The sequence below is a fragment of the Homo sapiens genome, chromosome 4 (assembly GCF_000001405.40).
Source record: "Homo sapiens chromosome 4, GRCh38.p14 Primary Assembly".
NCBI classification, from domain to species: domain Eukaryota; kingdom Metazoa; phylum Chordata; class Mammalia; order Primates; family Hominidae; genus Homo; species Homo sapiens.
In genome coordinates, this window is record NC_000004.12 from 7488834 (window position 1) to 7506350 (window position 17517).

The 17517-nt window shown below is 55.1% G+C and overlaps 1 protein-coding gene across 8 annotated transcripts in view, besides 2 other annotated features; it reads left to right on the forward strand.

Annotated features, from left to right (window-relative positions):
* SORCS2 (sortilin related VPS10 domain containing receptor 2) overlaps nt 1-17517 on the forward strand; it is a 550290-nt gene that overhangs the window by 296296 nt on the left and 236477 nt on the right. The window lies entirely within an intron of this gene.
* Nucleotides 8781-8948: a silencer, noted in NCBI's record as "fragment chr4:7499341-7499508 (GRCh37/hg19 assembly coordinates)". NCBI's record gives its function as "represses an EF-1alpha promoter that drives an FKBP-Casp9 reporter gene in an ReSE screen in phorbol 12-myristate 13-acetate-treated (for megakaryocytic differentiation) K562 erythroleukemia cells {active_cell/tissue: K562(+PMA)}" and the evidence as "EXISTENCE:reporter gene assay evidence [ECO:0000049][PMID:32094911]".
* Nucleotides 11949-12547: an enhancer, noted in NCBI's record as "H3K4me1 hESC enhancer chr4:7502509-7503107 (GRCh37/hg19 assembly coordinates)". NCBI's record gives its function as "activates a minimal SCP1, AML or CMV promoter by ChIP-STARR-seq in naive H9 embryonic stem cells {active_cell/tissue: H9 hESC(naive)}" and the evidence as "EXISTENCE:reporter gene assay evidence [ECO:0000049][PMID:30033119]".

Consider the following 17517-nt stretch of genomic DNA (forward strand, 5'->3'; position numbering starts at 1 on the left):
TTCGTTTATAAAGCTGTTTCATAAATGAGCCTGGTTTACATGCTTAAACTTCTGAGGCAGCTAAGTCCCCCTGTGCCATTTGACAGGTCCGCACTTGCTTGGACTACCATAAATGGTCACTAGCTACATTTACGTATTCGTGCTTTTTCATTCATTCATTCAACGTTTACTAATCATTTAAGGAGCACCTCCTATATGGTCAGCAGCATGCTAAGGCTGGGGATACCTTCATGAACCCACATTTCAGTTGGGGATATGGTCGCTAACCAAATGGTTGCACAGACAGCAAGATGGAGGCTGAAATCCGTGCAACGCTGGAGCCAAAAGCTGGTTCCCTGGACCCTCTCATTTGGTTCCTTGACCTTCTGTCTTTGGGTGCTGGGTGGCAGGAAGCTGGAACTGGTTGCCTAGAGTCATGTTCTCTGGGCTCTTACTCCTTAAATTCCTTCCACTCTTTCAGATGCTGCCATTTCCAAGCACCCTAAACCCACTTCCTAATTTGTGGCTGCGTCGTCGCTGGTGCCTTCTTGAATTGATTTGCCGCTCCCTGTGTTGCTTTTCGAGTTCCTTGGCTGCTTGAGTTCTCAGTCGTTGCTGGTGTCTAGGAAGCATTTACAATTTCAAAGGATCTCTTGAAGGTGTGAATAATTTCTCAAGATGTCTCTCGGTGGTAAATAATCCATGTAAACTGTCCCCGGCCCTCCTGGCCCCTGCAGATGTTATCTGGTATCTGGATATCTGTATTTTAAATGGTCCCAGACAGTGTTCTAATGCAAACAAGGTGACAAGTCTGTTATTTAGAGTTTGAAAATCCTGTCTGTGCATGAAAATCAATGCATGTAATTTGTGAATCAAAATAATCGCACATAATTTAAGTAAATGCTGCATTTCTGATGTTCACAGACGGAGTCTGTGTTTTGGAAAACACAAATGCCTGACAAACCCCTGTCAAAAGCCCTGTTCATCAGGAAAATACTTGTGAGTTGTGGTTCCTATTCTCTGGTGTGACTGGGGCTGGGTGAGTGGTGACCAGGACACTGACAGGGCTCTGGAGCCACAAGGAGGGGCATTCCAGCAGAGAAGGGTGTCCTGTGGCTAGGCGGATGGTGAATGCCAGGCTGGGTTCTCCTTCTATAGGTGGAGGGTTGGAACAGGAGGCTGGTGTTGTATTTCAGGTCTAGAAAGATCTCCAGACAACAGGAGGAGTCTGATAAAAGGGCACAAGATCACAGGCCTGGAGATCAGCGGGAGGGCCCTGGGCTGACACCCCAGGGGCCTGGCTGGCTGGGGAGGGGTGCTGGCCTTGTTGCCTTCTGCAGAAGGGCCCAGGGGCCTCTCCCGGCTTCTCGATGCTCTAAGCATCGCCTGCCTCTGAGGTGGCTTTGGGAGCTCCTTCTTCACCCTCCTCTTGTGGAAAAGACCATCTCCCTTCTGACTCGGCCTGGGGGGAGCTCAACACAGCTCAGGACAGTGCGGGGTCCCAGCCTGCCTCCCTCTGCCAGGCCTGGTCCAGTGTAGGGGGTGAGGCTGTCAAGGGCAGCCTTCCTTGAGGGAAGGGCAGAGCTGAGGACTACCCTAGATCACGGAGCTCAACCATAAGAAAGGTCTCTGCCCCAGGAGGATTTGGTCTTTTAGAGCCTTTGTCCTAGGGACCATGCTAGCACCCCAGAATTGCCACTGCCAGGGAGGTGGGGCTGCCTTGGAGCTTAGAGACCACCTTTCCTTGAAGGAGGGAGAGGGAGGACCGGCAGGGGTGAGGATGGCAGACATGCAGAGAAAACAGACAGACAGATGGCTCCTCAGATAGCTCAGTTCCCAGTTCCATGCACCGTCCGTCCTGGCCCCAGCAGGGGTATCCAGTGAAATGGGGGCAGGTTGTTTGCAGGTGAACACTGGCCAGTGTGTGTAATGGCTATGCCTGTGAGGCCCTCTCTCCGGCTGGCTGGCATCTCCGTGCCCCAGGTCATCTCCCTCGGGGTGTCCCCGCTGCACTCCTCCCAGGCCTGCTTCTCCCTGGGCACTGCCCTGCTTCCTCTGTGCCCTCTGCCCATGCCTTAGCCTCCAGACCACCGTCTCCTCCTAGGGACGTACCTGGCACGTGGCAAAGGCTCCACAAAGGCTGGTCTTTGTTCTTACCAGCTGCCCAGCGGCTGGTCTCGCCCCTCCTCTCTGTCCCTGCCCTGCCGCCCTTCCTGTGGCTTCCTGAAACCTTCTGCTCTTTTCCCTTTGCCTTCCCTTGGGACATAAACCATATCCACTCCCCGGCTCTCCTGCCATCTCTCTCCTCTCCCCTCCTCCAGTTCTAAGTTCCCTGTACCCTGAGCCTTCCTGATGTCCTCTGAACACAGGGCACTGATTTTCCCTTCCAGGCCTTGGCACATGCTGTTCCCTTTGCCCTCTCACCTGAGTAACCCATGCTCAGCCTCCAGCATGGGTTACTCGTAGCTAACCCATCCTCCAGGAAGCCAGTTGTGGTGCTGGGTGGCCCTGAGGCTGCACTGGGCTGGGGCACCCCACCCCTACTCCTGCAGCAGCTCTATGCCCCTGTCATGGAGTCCCGGTCTCAAGGACCCTGCATGAGCATGCCCCTCTCTGCAGGCAGGTGCAGCGGCTGCACTTTTCATGCTGGTGTCCCCAGATGCCCAGGCACCAGCACGCGGCATGGCGTAAGCAGCTGCTCATTTCACGCTGCTGACTGAATCCATGCAGAGGGAACACCTTGGCTAGGACCTCTCTGGATTGACTTCTTCACTTTGACCACCTGGCCAGCAGGTCCCTTGACCTCTCTGAGCTTCTGTGATCTCATTTGTAACAGGAGATGATAGCGGACAAGGCTTGTGGTTATGAAACCTGTATTAAGTCTGCGTGACCCATGCTCCTCTGAGCCCCTCTGCACAGCAGCCCACCCACCCCCCGTTAAGGCAGCTGTGGCTTGATCCCCATTTGTTGGGTAAGTGGGAGGGTGAGGGCTGGCTCAGGGCACCCATCAGGTCAGGAGGGGTAGAACTGGCCCAGATGCCACAGTGGCTGTCCAGGGCTGTGCTCCCAGCTGTGGGAAGGCAGACAGCAGGGGCTGCCTGGAGCAAGCCCAGTGCAGTGCCTGAGCACCATGAATGTTGGCCACCACCCTTTCCATCCAGTCTTTGCCTCCTGGAGGCTGGGCAGGGCAGGGGCTAGAGATCCAGGGCCTCTTCCTCCTCCCTCCTTTTCTGGCCTATCTTCTGCCTCCAGTTTCACCCCAGGCTGAGCCCCATGGGCAAGGAATTAGGTCCCTCTCAAGAGACAGGTGCACGCTGCTGCTCCCAGCAGGCCCGACAGCCTGGCCCTCTCTCCAGAGCAGGGCTGCCCACCTCCCGCCACCTGTAAATACATGATTTTTCTTGACATCTCCCGAGTCCTCCCTGCCTCGCCCAGCCCCCGGTAACTACCATTCTACTCTCTGCTTCTATGGATTCTGCTCTTTAAGAAGTTGAACCTATGAGGTCGCGCGGTATTTGTCTTTCTGTGCCTGGCTTGTTTCACTTAGCACCATGTCCACCAGGCCCATCCATGTTGCTGGGAATGACAGGGGTCGTCCCTTCTTCGTAAAGGCTGACTAGGATTCCGCGGTGTGGATACACCAGGGTTCTTCATGCATCATCTGTTGGTGATCCCCAGGAGGATTCCGGGTGAACGCAGGAGTACAGGGACCTCTTCCACATTCTGATTTTATTTCCTTTTGCTATGTACCCAGCAGTGGGATTGCTGCATTTTATAATAGTTCTATTTCTAATTTTGAGGAACGTCTGTACTATTTTCCACAGTGGCTGTAGTTCTGTAAATAATTAATGAATGAGTCCTTCCCCAGCCCCTTGGAGACTGGCTGCTGACAAGCATACCTGAAGGAAATGGTTTTAAAAATGTAAATGAATGTTTTATTTAATAAGGAAGTCAAAATCCTTTCTTCTTAATACAGCCAGGCTTCCAGGAGTTAACAGCACCAGGGAGGAAGAAGGTACCATTTCCCGTGCACCTGCGGAGCCTCTGACCCCAGGGCAGGCCCGGACTCCTCATCTCCCATATTACCTTAGGAAAGCAATGCTAACCACTGCAACATAAGAGCCCCCCAAATACATAATTGCTCAAAGGCAACAGAAGTTCATTTCTCACCCCCATAAAGTCTAAATGATGCTCCTCAGCAGCAGCCTGTCCTCCAGGCAGTGACTCAGGGACCCAGGCTCCTTCCATCTGGGGTGTGGCCATGCTCCTGCCTTCTGAGGTCACCATGCCCATCCAGAATTAAGAAACAAATGGATGTTTCAAAGTGCCCATCTGTATTGGTAGAGGGGAAAGAGGATGAGAATCTCAGGTGGGAGGGTTTGGGACCCAGCCTGGAAGTAGCACATACCATTTCTGTGCATGTGACCCTGGATGGGACCAACCCAGTCTCAGGACCTAAGTTTAGTGGAGTTTAGAAAATGCTGTGGCAGCCCAGAGAAGAGAGGAGATGGGTTGGCGAATCCCATGTGGTCTCTTGCCAGATTTTCCCTCTGATTCTTCAGAAAAGGAAAGAGGTTCGTGGAGGGGCACAGCAGCTTCCCGAGGCCTGGATCCTACCGGATCTGCCTGACCCTTGGTGTCTAAGCAGCTGCTTGTGACTGTGGGTATCTCTGTGGGTACATCTGAGTCGCAGTGTTGGATCTGTTGGTGGTCGTGGTTCAACTTTCTAAGCCACTGCCTTGGGCTTCAGTTTCCCCAGCTGGAGGATAAAGTGTTTGGACCAGATAACCTCCGATTACCGGCTGGCTACCCTGCTGTACCCTTGCTGAGCTCTGCCCAGGGTGACCTGAGCTCTTGTGGGTGCATGTGTGTGTCCCAGAAGGGCTGGGCTCCAGCTGGTCAGAGAGAGAACACGCGGAGCCATGTCAGGAAAGTGGACACAATGCCATATGGAAGACACCGCTGCTCAGCCTGGATGGGTCTAGCTAGATGTCATTTTTAAAAACATTCCTTTTTATGATTTTAATAGTAATGCACATGCATTGTGTGGATATTAAATGACGTGATACACCCTCGAAATAAACCAGGAAGTAAAAGTGTGTTAACACTGGGACACAAGCCTTTTAGTTTCCATCTGGTGCATTATGTTCAGTGCCCACTTAACATACAGACAGCAAGACCTATACACACAAACACACACACACATTCACACACACACACAGACACACACACATACACTCACATGCTCACACACACACTCATACGTTCACATATGGACAGATGCATGGATGCACGTGAGTGTATTTCTATAGCTGAGATCTTATTCCGAATATAGTTCGTATCTTTTGTACAAATATAGTTTTGTAACCTGCTCTTCTTGGCGTCACTTCCCATACGATGACAGACTTTGCATGAGCTTCCCCATGAGTGGTCCACGCCATGAGCCTGTAGTGACTGATCGAGCTGTTTCCCGGTGTTTTATATCGGTGTGGTTTCCATGTTTTAGTCCTTTAAGCAATCTTGTGGCGAATGGCTTAGTCCATGTGAGCTGCTATAACAAAATATGCAGACTGCAAGGCTTAAACAACAGCCATTTGTTTCTTAATTCTGGAGGCTGGAAGTCCAAGATCAAGGTCAGGTTCTGGTGTGGGCCTCTTCCTGGCTTGCAGATGTCTGCCTCCTCGCTGTGTCGTCTCATGGTGTAGAGAGAGAGAGAAAGCTCTCTGGTGTCTCCTTTTATAAGGGCACTGATCCCCTTGGACCAGGGCCCTACCCTCATGACCTCATCCAACCCTAATCACCTCCCAAAGGCCCCATCTCCAAATACCATTAAATTGGGGGTTAGGGCCTCAGCATGTGCATTCTGGGAGGCTACAAACATTCAGTCCATGAAACAGGGAACAGCTTTGGACATCAGTCCCTGCCTGATTTCTGGGCTGTTTCCTTAAACCACATCCTTAGACATGCAGTGGTTGGCGGTAAGGGGTGTCATCCGGTCCACAGCTCCTGACTTCTGCAGCAAGGAGCAGGGGATTGGATCTTTGGGCTCCGGCTCGTCTCTGCCGCTCTGAACTGGAAGTGGGTGATGGAGCAGGAAGGTGCTGGTGCCCACAGCCTGTTTCCCTGGGCTTGGAGCTGCCCGGCTGGGGGCAGAGTGGAGCGCTTGTGAACACACCATTTCTCCTGGGTCCTTGGCCTAGTCTGGCTTTGGTAAGGAACAGCTGAAGAAACAGAGAGGCAGAGCAAGGCCCTGCGACGTCGAAATGGATTGTTCTCCTCTAGCAACGGTGCCTGTCAGCGGTGCTGGTACTACAGTCAGCTTAGAAACCGTGTGGCCATCACTGCAGCCTCAGCGTCAAAGCCTCGCTTGCCCCAGACTAAATGCTGGGGGAGATGAATTTGCCAGAACTCTGCCTCCCCTTGGAGCTGCATCAACTCAGGCTCCAGAGCCTGTCCTGGGGACCCACGCTGGCTAAAGGAGGCTACGGCAGAAAGCGAGGCCAGGCTGGGTTCAATGCGCCCAGCGTTGCCTTTTGAAGGTTCTGCTTAATCCATGTGTGCCAAGGAAGAACTGGGTGCAAATCTCTGCCTCCCCCACCAGCTGTGTGTCCTCCGGCAGCTCTTCTATGTTCTCTGGGCCTTGCTTTCCCCATCCATCAGTGAGAACAGAGCTCCTTCCACAGAGCATTGTTGTGAGGTCAGCACAGGCTACACTGGTGGCGATTTTCTCCTTGGCACCCTCGTCAGGCCCCAAGCCCGGGGCCTCCTTGTACATCATGGAAATGAGCAGTTGTCCTAGAGCTCACAGGCTCATGTCATCTCACAGCTGGGAGGGCCATGGACGTCAGTCACCTCATTGTGCAGATGGGGAAACTGAGGTCACGAAGAAGGGAGCGGCCTCTCGTCTCCATGATCCTGATGCCTGGGCCTAGGCTCTTGAACAATGCAGGCCCTCTGCACTTCTCCCTCAGCCCCCTGATTGAGTCTGAGCTGCGTGGTGACCCCTCAGAGGAGCTCCAGACCAGGGGCCGCAGCCCCCACCCACCCAGGGAGGAGCTGAGGCCCAGGGTGCCTGCATGCTTTACCTGGGCCACCCAGAGAAACAGGGAGGCACCTGCCGGCCTGGCCTAGCAAGACTGTTGGGAATGTTGCCTGGGCGAGGGACAGAATGTGGGCCGAGGGTGGAAGGATGGGGAGGCCTGGTCACAGAAGGACTTGGAAGGCCAGGCTAGCTGTCAGTTCCAAAGCGGTGCAGAAGAGAATGGACGGGGGTGGGGATTTGGAGCTCTCTTGAGAGTGAACCTGTCTTGCTTCCAGAAGGTTCTTCTCATGCCTTGTGAAGTGTGTCTTGGGAAGGGAGGGAGGAGACCAAAGCAACCTGACTCCCTGTCTATCACCCTCATCTCACGACACCCTCCTGGAACCTGCAAAGAACTTCTGTCCTCCCTGCTGTGTAGATAAGGAGCTAGAAGCCTGGAGAAGTGAGATCCAAGGTCCGGCTGCTCAAGCTGGAGAGGAATGAGGATTCGCGCCTGGGTCTGACTCCAAGGCCCTTGCGCTTCCTACCACACCACCCAGCCCCCAGGAATTAGAACTTTCTGGAAAGCTACTGGAGCCCCCCCCCCCCACTCCCCACCCGTTCCCCGTCCCCCGTCCCCCGTCCCCCATCCCCCATCTCAGGGCAGTGAGCCTGTGGTGCTCTGCACGGAGGCTGTAAAATTAGCAACTTAATTTTGGGTGTCAGGAAATCAGTTGAGGGGAAAATGTGTTTTCAAGGGATTAGTTTTCTTACAAACCAGCATGATAAAAATAAAGAGAAAGGAGAGTGGCCGGGAGAAAGGACAGTTTCTAAATTTATAGCAGGGATTCATTATTCATGGGCCACATCTGAAAAGGCCAAAGCTACAGAAGGGAGCGAGGCGTGGGTGGGAAAGTCCACGGCGGAATCCAAGGCGCCTTCACCAGGCGGGAGATGACAAAACAAAGGACCTTCCCATCCAAGAAAGTGGTGAGCGGCTGGGGAAGGCACAGGGCTCCGGGCACAACTCAGCTTATCAAAGAAGCCAGAGCTGCTTCTCCAGGCGAGGCCAGGTGCCCTGTGTCAGCAACCCAGTGCCCGTGCAGAGGTTTAGCCTTCTGTGATTGCCTGGCATGTAGGAGGGCAGGATGAAGCTAGGGTGGGTGCTCTTGCGCTGACACACGTGAGCTAATTGACTCCAAACAATAGTGTTGTGGATGGATGTTGGCTATTCTGCAGAAGAGGAAACTGAGGGTCAGAGTGGCAAAGAGAGATGGCCAGGGTCAGGTGGGTGGTGGCAGTGGCCGAAGCCTCAGGCTTGAGGATCCGCATGGCGCTCTCTTCCCTGCCCCTGCCACACTCTGGTGTTGGTGCATTTAAGGGCTAAAGAGAAAGGAACGTGTCAGGAGACCCACTGTGTGCCTCTTACCATGTCTGGGCCTCCCCTGAGGAGGGCCTCATTCAGCCTTCCCCGCAGCACAGCGTGGCAGGGTTGGTGCTGTTGCCAGAGGAGGACTGGGGCTCTGGGATGGGATGTGGGAGACTTGTCCAGGGCTGAGCAGCTTCTAAATCCAAGTCCCCTCCCAAACCCACACCCAGTGAAGGGTGAGGCTGTCTCTTACCCCCTCCTCCTAGGAGCAGCCCAGCTCCTTGGCAGGAGATGGACCTGTGGAGATTCCTTGCCCCGTGGGGGCCCAACCAGGGGTCAGGCAAGTCACACCGCCATTCCCAAAGGAGCCCACAGTTAGGACTTCCCCAGGAGTTTGTAATTCTGGTCCCTGCTGTATGTTGAGCACCAGCTCTGTGCCTGGTCCTGCACAAGGAACCACACGTTTCACTCGCTTCATCTCCACATGACCCAGGGAGGTAGGTGCTGTCATGGTCCCCACCGCACAGGTTGGGAAACGGAGGATCCACAAGGGTGAGTGAGTTGCCCAAGGTGACTCCCTTGTGGGAGAACCAGGCCTGGACCCAGATACTGTCCCCTTTCCAGAAAATCCATGGCCTAAAATGCCGAAGGCAGAGGACCAGCAGGAGCTTTGTGGAAAAGGCCAGATAACGTGCATAGTGGAAGGAACGTTTTTAAGAAATGCGTTTCACTGAAGGGGGTGAAGAAATGCATTTCACTGGAAGCGGGTGATGGAGAAGGAAGGTGCTGGTGCCCACAGCCTGTTTCCCTGGGCTTGGAGATTCATCTCCTCCAGTTTGACCAGGCCTCCGTTTCGGGACCCTCTTCCTGGATGACATCCACGCACCCACATTTCAAATGGCTGCCCTTCCACTGGGGGGCCAGGATGAGTCTGGAGTCCTGGAAAGGGAAGGATTGGGGTTCCTCCTAGTCCTCCCTTAGCCAGTGAGGTTGAGGACATCAGTGAGATGTGGACCCCTGATGGCTGTGGGCCAACCTCTCACGCCCAGGACTCAAGAGGTTCTGTGGACATGGGTGACCCAGTCCCCTGCCTTGGCTGATGTGGGGATCGCAACCCTTTGCTACGGGTAAAGGGGAGGCCCAGAGTGGGAGCACCTGCCCAGAGGCTGTGTTCCTTAAGTAACTTAAATTACATAGAGAACAGTTTCCAGAATGTACAGGCAAGACGCCAGCAGCAAATCACTGCTGGGCGACAACACCTCTGAGTGTGGTGCAGAGCTGCTCTGCCACAAAATTGAGACCCATGTACCAAAATCCCAACCCCTCCCTAGCTCTGGAAAGGGTGCAGAGAGCACGCCCTGCCAAGGCGGCCAGGCAGAGCTGGGTGAGGCCCCACCTCCTAGGGACGCAGGGCCTGGGCAGCAGGGGATCAGCACAGCTGCCAGCCTCATTGCTCTAAGCCCCTGATCCCAAGATCATATGAGGAGGAAATGAAGCCACGTGGACCAAGGCTGATGCCTGGAGCAGAGGTGTCTACACCACAGAGTGCCTACTGGGTGTCAGGGCTGCCCGGGAGCTGGGAATGCCAGCATGAGCAACCCCTGGCCCTCCCTCTGCGGGTGTCCATGGGAGTGCAGTGCCATAGAGGAGAGGGACGAGTGCCCAGGGAGCCCAGAGCCCTGTCACCCCCAGCAGGGGAACATGTCAAGCTGAGCGTGGAGTGGCTTCCTGGAGGGCAGCTCCGGGGCCAGTATCTTGAAGGCTGCAAGAGGGAGCCGGCTGAGGCTGGGGAAAGGGGGGCAGGGGGCAGCACCGTGGAGACGGGAGGGACACGGCACAGGGTGCATGTGTGTGCACAATCACGTGTGCATATGTGGGAGTGTGTGTCTGTGCATGTGGAGATGGGTGTGTGTATTTGTGTCTGAGTGTGTATGAGTGGGCAAATGTAGCACGAGTATGTGCATGTGAGTGCATGTATGTGTATGCATGTGTGTGTACATGTGTCTGAGTGTGTGCACGTCACCCCCAGGAGTGGCATGTCTGCGGTGTGCACCACATGGGGCAGGTCGGGGGACAGTGAGACGAAGCCGGACTCTGGAGGACATGGGAGCCTAACTCAGGAGGGAGTGTGATGCTGGAGGCCATGGGGAGCTATGGAAGGTGCTTGAGCAGGGAAGGGCACAGACTTGTTCTTTCCCAAGGACCCTGTGGGAGTTGCATGCAGGAGAGGTTCCAGGGATGCCACTGCAGGGGCACCAGTGAGGAAGTGGGCCCAGAGGTGGGGGCCTGGTCAGGGGAGATGGCGTGGGGCGGACTGAAAAGGATAGTTTTGAGAGGAGGATCGCAGGTGGTACCTGGAACTCGACACTGGCTGGCGGGTGGGGGCCGGCATGGGAGACAGGCCATGGGGCTGGGCTCTGTTCTCCAAGATGGAGAACCACACAGGGACACTGGCCATCCCCCCTCATTTTGCCCCAGCTGAGCCATGCCCCGGGAGACCCTTCCTGGAAAGATCCTCTCGTCTGCCTTCCTCGCTCCTCAAACGCTGGCATCTGGAGAGAAACCCCACAAGTCATTAAATCACTGCTTGGCAAGGTTCGTGCTGTGGTGATGCTGAGAGCAAACAATCGGGGACCGAGCCGGCACAGGTGGGTGGACCCCCTCCCAGGCAGCGCGCAGTGGAGAAGGGCCGTGAGGAGGAGGGTGCTGGGTGTGTCAGGTCCCAGGGGAGGCAGGCGGCTGGGGAGCCAGCTGTCCTCCTTGGAATCCTGGTTTCTAGGCCGCATCAGTCCATTCACTGGGCATTCGTGTGTCTGCTGTGCACCCAGCACCGTGGGGACCCAGCTGCGGCCCCAGATGGACACAAGCTCTGACCTCACGGGCTTTCTTTCCGGCTTCTGGCACCCCCATCCTGCCTGTAACCCACTCACCATCACCCGGAGCACACCCCTGCCCGGTGGTACGTCCAGCTCCCACCTATCAGCTCCCTCCACTCTCGGTCCCCTGCACGAGCTGCCCAGCCTGCCCGTGGAGCCCCCGGGAGTGTGGGAGGTCACGCCTGGAGGAGCCCCGAGCAGTGGTGGGCAGGATAAGGTGGATCAATACTCGCCTTCCTTACTCCAGGCATGCTCTGTGCCGGCTCTTGGAGGTCCCTGGCAGCGCCAAACCCTCTGCCTGCATTGAGGACCTCCTGCAAACAGGCCCTGGAATGGGGGCTTCCCTCCTCTGTCCTAATGTCCTGCTTTTCTGTGGGTGCTACCCACACTGAAGGCCTCATCTGCTTCTGGGTGGTCTGGGCCTCAGATCTGAGGAGATAGCCAGTATTCAAGTTAAGAAATAACCACAGAGGATGTCAGTGTGCCGGCTGGAGAAATAACCACAGAAAGCACCAGTGTGCCGGCTGGAGAAATAACCACAGAAAGCACCAGTGTGCCGGCTGGAGAAATAACCACAGAGAGCACCAGTGTGCCGGCTGGAGACTGTGGGTGTGATAGAGAGGAACCGGCTTTTACATCGCACGTCGTCCAAGAGGACCTCTCTGAGCTGAGGCTGTAACTCAGGGAGGCCCTGGCTGCTGGAGGGCGGTAACGAGTGGGAGCCTCAGCGACCTCCATGTACCCCTGAGGGTTGCAAGTTGCCTCTCACCTCGATGCTGGGAGCCAGCCTGCGGGCAGCCCCCGCAGAATGAAACCCAGGACAGAGCCCCAGGCTCCACCAGCCCCGACTCCTGTGATTCTGCCGGGAGGTTTGGCCTTCCCAGGGAGCTCGGCTCAAGCCAGCGTGGATCCAGCTCCACCCCACGTGCCCTCTGAGCCGCTACAGCTGTAGCATCTCGCACAGGTGATTTCATCTTGGGACCGTGAGCCCTGGAAAAAGCACCTATGTTTTTCTCAGGGTGCTGACCTGTGAAGGCGCGGGTGAGACGAATCTTGCCCTACCCCACCAACTGCCTCAGCACTCCCTGTTTGGACACTGTCCCCATCCCTGCAGTGTCCGCCCCACAGCCCTGCTCCCGTCACCCGCTCGGTCCCACGCCCTCGTGGGCCAGTAAAGCCCAATGCTCTTTACAAAGAACCTTGCTCTGTTCTTGGTTCCTTGGTTGCAATCAATCCTGAGCTTTTTATTGTTCTTTCTTGGAGTGAAAAACAGAAGCAGCACACATCCGTGATGACGTTACCAGACATTTGTGCTGATCCAGTCCCCTTTCAAGTCAGTAGGGCTCCTTACTGTAGGACACGGTGCCATGAGCTCCCAGGGGGCAGGATTTACGTGTTTTGATGATCCAGTTCCAGGGCGAAGGCACCAGGGCTGGCGCTGGTAACAGAATGGGCCTCCCTCAGCCTCCTGGCTTAGCACTTTGCTTCATGCCAAATACATCAAACTGAACCCTGGCAAGGCAGAGGCTTCTCGCACCCGGTCTTCCTGTGTACAAGGCAGGACGTTCAAGATGCTGCTGTTGCTGCCCTTTGCGTTGGTCTCATTGTCCCTGTGTGTCTGGAGACTGAAGGAATCGGCAGGTGTATTTTTCCTTCTCCTGCTCTCTCTTTTTAAAATGTGTCTCGACCAGGGAAATCTTTCCCCACTAAGACACAATTAAGTTTCCTGAATTAATTATGTACCTGACAGCAGGATTAGTGATTTTCTTAATTTCTACTGTAATTACATTGGAAGAACAGTCACCCCTGATCTCTCTGGAAGGAGGGCTCCCACAACGAGCACAGCTTCTGAGGCATCTGCAGTGGAGCTCCTGATCTGCAGACTTGTGGGCGCACTCCCGGCTTCTGTGGACGCTGAATGGGTCGTGGTCCCGCCCCTACAGTGCAGTCCTTCTCTGTTCAACCAAGGCTTCCTGAGCGCCAGTCACATGTGCCCAGGCAGGGAGGGGAGGGCGTTTCTGTCACAGGGACACCCTGGAGTGGCTGGGGTGGTTGTCTCATTTCATGGCTGGGGCCATCAGAAGGGAGGAGGTGGCCTCTAGACGGCCTCTGGTGCTCAAGATCTACTTGTCCATTAAAACAAGGAATGTGCCCCGTGAGAGCCGGAGGGAGGGAAGAAGTCCTTGGAAGCCAGCACGAGGCTTCGCCAGGCTCAGCACCACTGTCTGAGGATGACATCTCCCTGGTGGGGGAAGAGGATTCTGTGGTCATGGTGGTCCCCATGGGGCTGATTGATGATTCTTCACCTTGGGCTGGGCAGTGATCTCTGTTCTCAAGGGGATAATTTGTGTGAATGCGAAGGAAAGCCATCAAAAGGTGGAGATGGGGACATTCAAGGGTCTGGTCAGAGCGGCTACTACCATTTATAAATAGGAGCTGTGTGGACATGGCTGGTCTGACTGTGGGCCTCATCCCCAGCCGCCTTTGTTGCTCCTCCTCTTGATGTCCTGGCTCCCTTGATCACCTTGTCCCTTCCCATAACTCCCACTTCCCGTCTGTCTGGGACAGGAGTACACGTGAGATGCAGAGAACGGGCGTGACTTGCTTAAGGCCATGTGGACAGAAGCTGCAAGGTTCCAATCTAAAGCCAGGTCTCACGACGCTCCATCTGCCAACATGACCTCTGTGCTCAGAGACCACTGTGCGGGGAGCAGGGAAGCCGGCCTTGCCCCCACGGCATGCCCACTTCCACGCTGCACACCAGATTCATTTCTTCCGCTGTGGCGACTGAGGGAGAGGAGAATATTATAAAACTGTTAGGGTGTCAGTGACCCAGGGAAAGTGGGGCTGATTTAAATGCTATTTCACTTTAAGAATCTGTCTACTCCTTTATTTCTTGGTGCATTTATTGGACAAGTTCCACCCGATTTCACGTTTTAAAATTAACCAGCCGAGCAGAGAGGCCCTGCCAGCGGTAGCATCCTGCCTCCGGGAGCACAGGTGCACAGGGGCTGGGGAATATATCTGGGGAATATATATCAGAGGCCTAAAATATATCCATCTGTATGTGTATATATGTGTCATCTTTCCAGAAGCCCCAAACATGGAAAATTCTCCTTCATAGGGCTTTCAAAATCTGAACTCAAAAGGGGAAAAAGCCACACATATATATGTCACCCACACTCACGGCCCTGGAGTTCCTGGCCTAGTTAAAGAAAGTGGTGAGGCTGCCGAGTTAGAAATGAGTAACAGAGTTGTCTGTAAAAAGTTTGTCTCCCAGAAGTTTGAGGTTGGCAGTGACTTTGACTCACGTCTGCTACACACAGTCTTCAGCTGCAACCACATGGAGATGAGCTAGAGACCGAGATGGAGATAGAGACATAGAGAGACAGAGACGGAGACATAGAGGGGCAGAGACATAGAGAGACAGAGATGGAGACAGAGAGAGACAGAGGTAGAGATGGTGCAGGAGCTGGAGATCTCTATGCAGACGGAGACCCAGATACACCTGCAGAAACAGTAACAGCTGGAGAGGGTATACCCAGGATGCAGGGAGAGGCACAGGTGCAGATGGAGGTGGGGGTGCAGATGGATGGAGACACAGCTAGAAACAGACATGCAGATGCTGATGCAGATTGATGGGCCGTGTGCTCCCCAGAGGCTAATGCAGGCCCAGAATGATGTTCCTGCAACGTGTATGGAACAAAGGAGACCGCTGGCCCCTGGCTTGCTGGCTATCACATTTCAATCTTTCTCGTTGCAAACTTCACCAAGAACCACAGGCTAGATGCCAAGCGTAAGCAGCCTCTGGGTTGGCAGCGTCGGGGGGCTGAGGTTTTGGTGCCCTAGAGGAGAAGAGCTTTCCTCTGCCAGCCCCTCCCTGTCGGACTTGGTCTCTAGGTAACCTGCTCCCCTGCTACTCCACCCGGAGAGCAGGCCTGGAGCAGAGGAGGAGCTTGTGCTTTCCCACCCCTGACCTCAAACCCTTACAGGCCTCACCCTGGTCACTCACTGCAGCCTGGGTGCCAGGGGTAGGGCAGGGGCCTCTGTCGCAGCTCACAGCTGCGCTCTCAGAAGCTCCTTGCTCAGGGACCCTTGGGAATCACACACCGGGATCCTCACTCCCAGCTCAAGCCCTTTTCTCCTGTGCGTACAATTGAAACGGACATCTGGCGGCCATCACTGTAATTCAAACTCAAATGCCTTTGCCTGGAGAACCAGGAGTGTGGAATTCAGAGGATCTGGGTGGTTTTGGTGTTCAGCTCAGCACCCCCAGAGCTCCTGTGACTTTGTAGAGCCCGAGAGTGGGGGAAGTGGAGAGACACGAAGTCCCTGCTGGGTGCTGGGCACTGCACTGGGCCCTCGGATGCAGAGCAATTCATTTCTTCTTAGTAAGAATCCTTAAATCCTGCTCATTTTATGAGCTAGGAAACCAAACTCAGAGAGGTGAAGTGGTGCCAGTGTCACTCAGTTCGCCCATGGCTGTGGTGGGATTTGAACCCACATCCATCTGGCTCTGGACCCCAGGGCTGGCTTCCCAGCCATGTGGCCTGGGTGGTTGGTCACACAGAGCCACATTTAGGAGGGCTCTGAGCTTGTTAAATGCTATATGCTGTCGCTATCACGAGTAGTAAGTACAAACCAGGAAGCTTGAACACGGGGACCGCATTTTCATTTTGTCTTGGGCCTCACAAATGACATACCCAGTCCTGCCTGAACCATGGTATGTCTGCCACAATTTAGTGCCTTCCTGCTCTGGTCTAGCTGGGACCCGACTGTTGGGGGCCACAAAAGGTCCATGGTGAGCAGAGAAGCTCGGGAGCCGTCTGATGGCCGTAGGCGCTGATGCCCCCCGGCCACCTGTCATGCATGATGCTTCTTGAACTGGAAAAAGTCCACCTCTGAGCCAGGGGACCGAACCCTCCACCTCCTCCTGGTAAACCAAAGTCAATAGGGGTGAAAAGGATGGAAACCTGGAGCGCCGGGAGGGATGGGGAGCAGGACTGTGCAGCCCATGGTGGAACGGGTGAGTCAAATGTGCTAAGAAAGCCCGATATCATGGAGCCCTCCAGGGCGGGATGGGTGATGAGGCTAGCGTTGTGGCTTCTGAATTTTAAAATAAGCTTGGACAGCATCCGTGGAAAATGCTTCGTGATGGGAAAGGGGTGCGGATGTGGTATAGGGAGATCCAGTGGGGCAGCTGGGGCTTCCACGGAGGGACATAGGTGGCCGGCGGGGAGCCAGGCACGGGGCTGGGGGCTGTTCTCAGAAGGTCTCACTGAATTGTCTCACTGACCCCGAGAACAGCTCAGGAGAGCTCCGTGTGCACAGAGACACCTCAGTCCCCGCATCAGGAGATGGGACCACCCCTGAGATGGGAGGATGGCTCCAGCTCACAGGCATGGAAGTTGAGCCCAGAGACATCTGGGGGTCCCCCAGTGAGTCTGGGTGGCATTGGAGCCCTCTCACTGTCTCTCCTTTCTGCATAATAGTGATATTGATGCCCTCCTCATGGGTGTTCTGGAGACAGAGAAGTCACATGTACAAAGCAGTGCACACCCAGGGCCTGGCACGGAGAGGGTACTCAGATACCCCCGAGAGCCTGGCTCTGCCAGCGGGAACACGAGGACGCAGCAGCAAGGCCCCAGAGCTGGGCAGCGCCAGTGAGAAGCCTGGCCCTTCCTCTTCCTGACTCTGTGACCTTCGAGAGTGATGAACTCCATGAGCCTCAGTTTTCCCGTAGGACGAATGGGGATAATTGTCGCGGGGCCCTCATAGAGCTGGAGTGAAGATTCAGTGGCAGTCGATGGACAAAACTGAGAATCAGGCCTGGTGTGGGACGTGCCAAGCCCCTAGTCTTCTGTGCCTCCACTTCCGCGGCTATAAAACACCCAACTCCCAGAGTCATTGTGAGGAGCCCTGGCAGGGGGAACGCATAGCCGTGCAGTAGCCTAGTGAGGGGTTCAGTCCCTCTCTCTATAGGGGCACTAATCTGGGGTGGGGAGGCTGTGGAAGCCAGCAGGAACCATCAAGGTGATCCCAGTGGTAGGGACACTCCGGGGTCTGTGTCTGCTGACAGCCACAGCGTCCTGTGTGCGAGAGTCCCAGTGAACAGCGCGTGAGAAAAGGAACTTCTTTTAGTCTGAGCGGGCCTCCTCTGCCAGGGGCGCTGCCATAGTCTGGGCTTAATGAGGCCTAAATCTGTCAACAGTGGAGGCTGCTGCTTGTGGTAAATATTTGGCGTCCAGCTCCATTTGGCATGGTTATATTTGCTC